Below are 8,503 nucleotides of genomic sequence, written 5' to 3' on the forward strand. Positions count from 1 at the left end.
GGAAGCTTCCTCAGGCCCTCATCAGAAGCAGATGTTGGTGCTATGCTTTTTGTACAGTCTGCAGAACGATGAGCCGAATAAACCTCTTTTCTTTCAAATTACCTGTCTCAGATATTCCTTTATAGCAATGCAAATGGACTAATATACTATCTTTGTGATATATTGCTACTTTCTCCATGATTCACTTTTTCTTTATAATGGATTGTATCATCTCTTTGTTTTTTGTTTTTTTTCAAAGAAAGTCTGAAGGTAGTTAACCCTTTGAGTGTCAATTGGCCATACAGTGTATTTTAATCCTCTGAATCGGATAATGGTTTTTCTGGATAAAGAATTCCAGATGTAGGCTGGGCATGGTGGCTGACACCTTTAATTCCAGCCCACTGGGAGGCTGAGGGGAGAGAATGACTTGAGCCCAGGAGATTGAGACCAGCCAGGACAACATAGAGAGACCTTATCTCTTTTAAAAAAAAGTTTAAATTAGCCAGCATGGTGGCACACTCCTGTAGTCCCAGCTACTTGAGAGGCTGAGGTGGGAAGATTGCTTGAGCCTGGCAGGTCAAGACTACAGTGAGCTATGAATGCACCACTGCACTTTAGCCTGCGTAACAGAGTAAGACGCTATCTCACCAAAGAAAGAATTCTAGATTTAAAATTATTGCCCCTTAGTACTTGAAAGACATGGCTTCATCATCTTGTATCTACTGTTGCTAAAGAGAATTCTAAAACCTATCTAGTTTGTGTTCCATTAAAATTAGTACACATTTATAATGTGAATTGCACTACTTTAGATAAGGTGATCCTTTTCAGCTCACCACCTGCAAGGCTATGAGCAAAACTGTATGTATGCAAGAAGTAAGCAAAAGTCAAACAAGGCACCAAAGAAAGTTCATGAGAAAGAAGCAGACTCTGATAGAAAGATCCCTAGTATACTCCTCACATTTTTTCACTTTCCCTGAAATAATTGTCCACAGGATAAGCGCAGAACATCTATGGGTGAGAGAGGGGGAAAATAAAAATTAAACAACTGGATCTGAGACTTCATGGCACTGCTGTGCCAGCTCTAGACTATAATTTTTTCCAGCCCACTTTCTTCCATTTACTTATATGCAACCAAATTCAATTCTTAGCTATTAGTTCTCTTTCAGATAGTATTTCAACAGTATTCTGTCTTCTCTTCTGGAGTCTCAATAAACACATTTATGTAAGTTTTGATCATTCTTTTCTTACTATTCATTATGTTTACACTTTTGACCTCTTCATTCTTTTCTCTTACATTCTAGATTGATTCCCCAGGCCAATCTTCAAAGGTTACTAATGAACTCTTTTGCTGTCTCTATTCTGCTATTTAGCTTCTCTATTGAATATTAACACAATTAAAGTTTATATTTCCAAAACTTCTACAGGTTGTTTCTTCAACAATAAAATAATCTCACTTATTTTTCTGAGGATATAAAACTTTGCTTATTTAAAGCTTGCTTCTAGTTGTTATATATGTCTGTTTCCTCAGATGTAAGTTCTGTAGTTTTTCTCTCTTTCATGATGCCGGCATGATGCAAATTTATGTCCAGTTCACTCTGATCTTAACCATGTAATATATTACCTACCATACTGGTAGCTCACTCTGCTGCACACCTGGCTTGTTGTAAGGAAGAAATCAGCTGCAAAGGTTGATTCTTTCTTTATTGAGACTAATGCATATCTAGTACACTGGCAGCTGATCTTCTAGCACTACTCACTTTCTTTGCCACTGCAGGCCACCTAGAGTATCCCCTTACCTTGTTGTATCAGGGAAATCTACTGCTTTAACCAGAACCATCCTTTCACAGTTTCTGACCAAAGGAACTGGAGTGATGTACAGATGATCTGCCTGGCAGATCCTGCTTAATTGCCTCAATCAGCTACATTCTTGCAAGTTGCTGTTATCATACTGAACTTCCATGGCACTGCTTCTGTGAAAAACAAACTAAAAGATAACTCTTCTCTAAGCAACCTCATGTGTCTCAGTAGGCTAGTTCTCTCTTCCATCTGATCTTGATTGCTTCTATCACAGATTCTCGACATAGTTTCTCATATTTGAAACTCCCTATTATTGGTTTTAGTGCTGAAGAAGAATAATGCAGAATACATTTTATCTTTATTCTTGAAACTATATTGGGCAAGTAACTTACTATCCAGTGATTCATTTTTCTTTAAAATTGGAATAATATTAGTACTTAGTACCAATAAGGTAGTTGTCAATTGCATGAGTGAATACTGACAGAAGGGTTTATAACATAACTTGACACACAGTAACCACACAATAACTGTTTGTGATGATGATGGTGATAATAATCTTTTAGTAAAGAGAGGATTGTGAGTAAAAAATTGAAAAATAAGAAAATAGTTTCCAAAACTCTGTGTGAAACTAAATTATTTGGGGGTGCTTCAATTTACTTTGTATTTTGTATTTTTTTAAATTTTATGTAACATTTGGAATTAGTTTTATAATTAGGGAAAATAAAAAGTTATAGGAAAAAATTAAAATTTATTCAATTAAGTTACATTTACTTTTTGAGTTAAAAAACCTTTTACACTCATTTGCAACTTTTTTCTCCTAATGTGCTATGTTATGTACATGATTTCATAAATGTAGTAATTTTTAAAATGAAGACATTTTCACCAATACCAATGCCATGATAGAATAACAGTAATAACTCTTAAATAATAATTAGGCTTCTTATGCACGTTCAGGAACTCAGCTTAGCCATGATCTACTCCAAATGTTGCTCATTTGGAGTCCCCTCCATCATTTCCTTTAACAGATAATGACTTAAACACCTAAATCTATGACTTTCACCCCCACCAAACCCTAAGCTATTGAGGACAGGAAGCGTCTTATCCACACTGGTACCCCAGTTTCTGGCACAAGTATGCCAAAACTGTTCTTTAAAATATATATGTACTAAATGAATTGAATTTATTAAAGTAGAAGATAACAATTCAATATTAATAAAAATGTAGGATGCCTGACATGTAGTTTTACCTTTATTTGGGTCTAAAACTAATCATGGTAATAAACATATGATCCCCATTCATGAGAAAATAAATGGCCTCTCACACCACTCCCTCTACTATTATACAATTTATAGTTATTGTATGTATTAACTATTATAAACATTTCATATAAAGAACTTGCTCTCATACTAATCTTTGCCAGAAGATAATAGAACATTGTTAAATAAAATACTTGAAAATGAAAAGAAAACATCAAAATAATAAATAATATTGTAATTTCTTAAAAATGCATAAACTAACTGGAATAAATGTAAAGCTATTTGGGATATGAAATTAATTAATCAATTTTATAAGCTAACATTCCTTCTTCTGTGGCATCAGCTTCATTTCACAGCTATTTATTAACACTTGAGTGATTCGTAAAATATATATGGCCAAGCCTTGATTTCCTTTATATAATCTGGAGCTAGTTTCAAAGTAAACAGGATAAAAATATTTCCAATAAGGCATTTGAGGGAAATATGGTTTTTCAATCAACACAGAGAGAACAGGTGGGAAAATTGGCAAAGGAGTATGGTATAATTGGCTTATTTTAATAGCGTGAATCCCAGGTATCCAGATTTAGGCCCAGAAAGTATATTTCTGAAGACTAATTGGCATAGAACCATTTTAATGACATTTTAAAAATTCTGCTGTTACCTGCCCATACTCATGAAATCTGATTTATATTTTCCATTTGTTGAATTTAATGTGTTTATCTCTGATGAAGAAAAGTAAAAACTATTTCCTATTAAGAGGAAAATCTTGAAGACCACATGTATACATATAATCTAATATTATTAAATTAAGTGGAATGTTAGAATCTGTTTAATCGTGGACATCAATAAGTGTAATTATCTCCTGCATATGTCCTGGGCAAATGGCCAATCCTTTGTTTAAAGAGTTCAAGATTTCAAGCCTTGCTTTCAACCAAAAGCAATCTAATCAATTGTTGAATATTTTGAACTGTTAAAATACTTTTTATTTTATTAAGCCAAAGTTGTGTTCTCATACATTTCATCAACTGGCCTCAATTCTTCTCTAGGAAACTCTGAGTCTACTTCTACTTCCACATTAAAGCTCCTCTTTAAAATATACATATACCCCCCACCCCACACACACACACAGAGGCACACACACACACATGAGATATATATATATGAAATATCCTTTTTGTGCTCTCTCCTCAAACCGTTACTTTTAAAGTGTGATTTCTAAACACTTAATAAACCTGGCTCACCCTCATATGTTTTGTATATACACACACAGATTCTCACAGAATTTATCACTAGCTTGGATGAAATGTAAACCTCTTCAAAACTATAATTTTTACAGCAGATAAAAAACAAAAGATTTTTTTACTTATCTAAGCTTATGCAGAATGAGTTTTTCACTATAATTTAAAATATTCCATACAAAGGACTTTGCAGTTTTCAAATTTGTGTCTTTAGTAACTTGATTTCTTAATATATGGCAAATTAAAGTAGCTAAACTTGGCTGTAACCTGGGGCTTACAATGTGTCATTTTTGTAGAATCTCAGAGTATATGTGGTAAATTAAATTATTTCTCTATATTTTTTCTTTGTTTTACTTCTGGTAAAACTGAAAAAAATTAAAATTGAATTTTGATTTTTGTTTTTGAAACATGGTCACACTCTGTTGCCTAGGCTGTGGTGGAGTGGCACAATCATTGCTCCCTGCAGCCTCAAACTCCTGGGCACAAGTGATTCTCATCCTATCTCAGCCTCCAGAGTAGCTGGGACTGCAGGCATGCACCACCACAACCAGCTAATTTCTTTTTTAAAAATTTTATACAGATGAGATCTTGCTATGTTGCCCAAGCTTGTCTTGAACTCCAACCTGGTCTTTCTCGTCCTCCCTCGGTCTTCCAAATTGTTGAGATTTACAGGTATGAGCCACCACACAAGGCCGAATTTTGGTTATTTCTAAGCTAGATTCTTATGTGTGAAACATATTAACTGTAAACCCAAGGGTTTTAAAATCACCAGCAATTCTCCCACATTTACTATAACAAATTCTTTCTAGCCATTGTGAATAATTAAAGTTAGTTATCAAGGGCTTCTGTCCTTGCAAATGTTTTCTCCTCACTCTTTTTTTAACAGGCACCTAATTTTCATATGATCTCTTTTCTCATCCCCCCCCACAAAAAAAAATAAAAAACAAACCTAAAAACCTAGTCTCAACACACAACACTATACAGTTTATATTTATATACATGTTGACAAAGTTTCACCATGCTCTTATGATTACCAGGTGATTTATATTCACATTAAATATTAAAAAGCACTGCTTCAGATTTCTTTCCCAACGATTACTTTTCTCTCTATAGTCTCTATTCTCTTCCTTAGTAGTACTTTTCAGTAAAAAGGACGAGATTTCTTTTACTTAGCTGAAAAATCTTTCCTATTACCCTAATAACCTTCATATTGAAGCTCTCTGCCTTTTTCCCACCAGGTGTTTTGATAGAGTCGAGTTGCTCTATACAGGACACAACCTTTGACCAGGCTTCAACCTGGCTTCAATTCTTGATCGATTTAGTGCTTCCTACCCCAATATCCAAGTTTATGTAAAATTTCATGCAATTTTGTAGGCCTTGACATATTCCTTTTACTCTACTTATTCTACTTAGCAGACAAGGCTGGTTGCTCACCTAACATCTCTGTTTCTTTTTTTCCTTGAGCTCAGAAACCTGGTGTTATAAAGAAATCCTTTTCCCAAAATGTAGCCAAAGGTGATCCCATACTCAAATCTGGCAGTAGACCTTGATTAACCTATACTCATTGTGCTAATTCTATTCTGCTTCTTCTAGAAACAATGGGTATATACCTCAATTCTGGAAAAAGAGAAATGTGTGGATTCAAAAAACATTTTATTCACTCACTGTAAAATGCATTTCCATTCCTAGATATTGATGTTCTGTGACACTAAACATGAAACTACGATAATCATATTGGAACCAAAGGAAGAGTCAGACTCTCAAAAATATAGTCAAGAGAGTGAAGATGAAGAGAGAGATGAAACAATCTGGGCCTTGATGCCAAAACTGATATACTTTACCTTGTCGTTGAGAATTGTAACAAGATTTTTACATTTTATAGGGCCTTCCCTTACCTTGTCATATACTATAGTTTTCTGTCCTTTATTAGATTATAAGGTATTTGTGGGTCTTTTTTTTTTACCTCTTAGTATATGTCATAGTGTCTTACACATAGTAGATTTTTAGTACATGCTTGTTGACAAAATAAGAGTCTTAATCTACTTCTGAGTGTAACTTTGCAATACATATAAACTTTTATAAGTTCCTCCTAATTTTAAAATGTAGATGTTTAAACACTGAATAGCATGATGAACTATACCTTGAATTATAGCTCTACTTTGAATGCATTAATTACCCAATTCCAATACTGAGGACAAAATTAGCTTATGTATAGTCCTTTAACAGTGAACGATAACAAAGAAGACATAAAGGTGTTATATTTCAGAGGAAAAGGAGAGCTGCCTAAATAGACAGGGTAATTCCCATGATGGAAAATATCAAATTTGTAAGTTAATTATATTTACTGCACGGAAAACATGTAACATTTCATAATTCATTTCCATTTTTCCTCTTCTATGACTAGCTCATGATTATGGATATAACACCAAATCATAAAATCATACATCTAAGAAAGGATGATGAATTTTTTTTTCTTTACCATTGGCTAATTTCATTAAACTATGCAGAGGTATACGCATATTTGAGATAACATACTCTGCAAGCCCCAGTGCTTCAGAAGCATCCATTTTTGGGTTCAGATCTAATTACATAATTATTAAATTTAAAGCTGGGTTTAGAAACACTGTTAAATAACAATATCTACATTTTTCTAAAACATTGCTTTTAGTTCTCAGGAATGAAAGTCACTGATTAAAATCTCTTCATGCACATTTATTTCCCAGTAAGCCATAGGAGGATTTGGTTTAATGCAAGAAGAGCTGGGTATTTTTTATTTTTTTAATTGTTGTTAAGCCTCTCAATGTCTGGGGCCACCTATTAGCCAATCCTAATTAGAAGCAGTGCCTGATTAAACTGCTCTCTGTAGAACCATTTGAACAACTTCATTAGTGCTTCAGTTTATGCTCATAGAGCAAACCACTTTGCTGAAAGTCTTGACAGCTTAGAAAGAGCCTATTTGGGCACATAGGACATGGGACTCAAAATTGTGCACAGTTGTAAAGTTTTGATTGTGTGAATTATACATGAGGGATGACCAGCAATTTTTGTTTTGAGAATGTTAGCCAATCAGCACAGGTGCAGGAGAAAAAGTCAACTGGGAGAGAGAGAAATCATAATATCTCAGGAAAACAATTTTTGGGCTCTGCCAACTCAACACATGACATTATAAATCTTGGGTGCATGCATTATACTGCTTGAAATTTCTCAGGTAGACTCAGAATTGAAATAAATAAACAAGGGGGGAGTGGTAAGAAAGGGGAAAGAAAACCACAAAGCTCTGCTTGCAAATTATTGCATACACAAGGGACTGTGACAGAGGAGCCTCTGAAAACTTGCCATGTCACTTTGCTGAGGACAAGTAACTTTGCATCAGTTATCTCTCTGTTCTGTCATCTGTTCATTTTATTAAAGCAAAGGGGTTTTTTAATTTCTACTTTCAGTGTAAGTCAAAAATTTCAAATCTTTAGGAGAGAAAGAAGTAATAATATTTATACATGATTAAGACAGTTATAGATTATTATTTTTATGGCAAATAAAAGGAAAATCTTTGGCTAGTATTATAAACCACTGCTACTTGCATTTAGATTTTTAAATAAAAATTTAATAAGGCCAACAAATTAATTTTGATAAAATATATAGTGCAGATTTTAAGGAAAAGACTCACAACAAAAATAAATTTTTCTTCTTTCTGGTCTTCTATTCTTTGTTTACTTAAGGATAGGAAAAACGCTGTTTCCCCTTCCACCATTTTATTATTTAATAGTAGCTTTGATATCAATTCCTATCACCTTCTGGGTTAAAAAACAAATTACATGAGATTAAGAAAATTGAGATCTACTTTAAAAAACATAACCACTCTCCTACCAATGTGGGAAGTAATTCAGTTATTCATGAAGAAAAATGTTCCAGTTCACCATTAAACAAATATGCAATGCTGCCGGCTTAAGGGCAAGAGGAAGCAGGAGGCCAGAAAGGGGAAATTGTATATTTGTCAGGACTGACAGTTTGCTTTATAGTGGACCCACCTCCCCTTTAAGTAATTCCCATTCAGTTTATGGTAGATTGTTATACAATGAGGTCAGGCACAGCAAATCAATTCTGATATGATTGCATTTTAGCCATAGTCATATTTCTCTTGGAAATCTTGTCAGAATCAGCTATTCACTTTATAAGAACATTGATTTCCCTACCCTCACTCTCTTATTCTATTTCATCTTCTATTCAGCAGAGCTT

The 8,503-nt window shown here is 34.0% G+C and overlaps 1 annotated feature.

The window, feature by feature from the left end:
• Positions 237-406: an enhancer, noted in NCBI's record as "experimental_87934 CRE fragment used in MPRA reporter constructs". NCBI's record gives its function as "activates a minimal promoter by MPRAs in K562 erythroleukemia cells, with activity observed for the non-introgressed 6:115826326 variant allele {active_cell/tissue: K562}" and the evidence as "EXISTENCE:reporter gene assay evidence [ECO:0000049][PMID:34662402]".

The sequence above is a fragment of the Homo sapiens genome, chromosome 6, assembly GCF_000001405.40.
Source record: "Homo sapiens chromosome 6, GRCh38.p14 Primary Assembly".
In the NCBI taxonomy this organism is placed as follows: domain Eukaryota; kingdom Metazoa; phylum Chordata; class Mammalia; order Primates; family Hominidae; genus Homo; species Homo sapiens.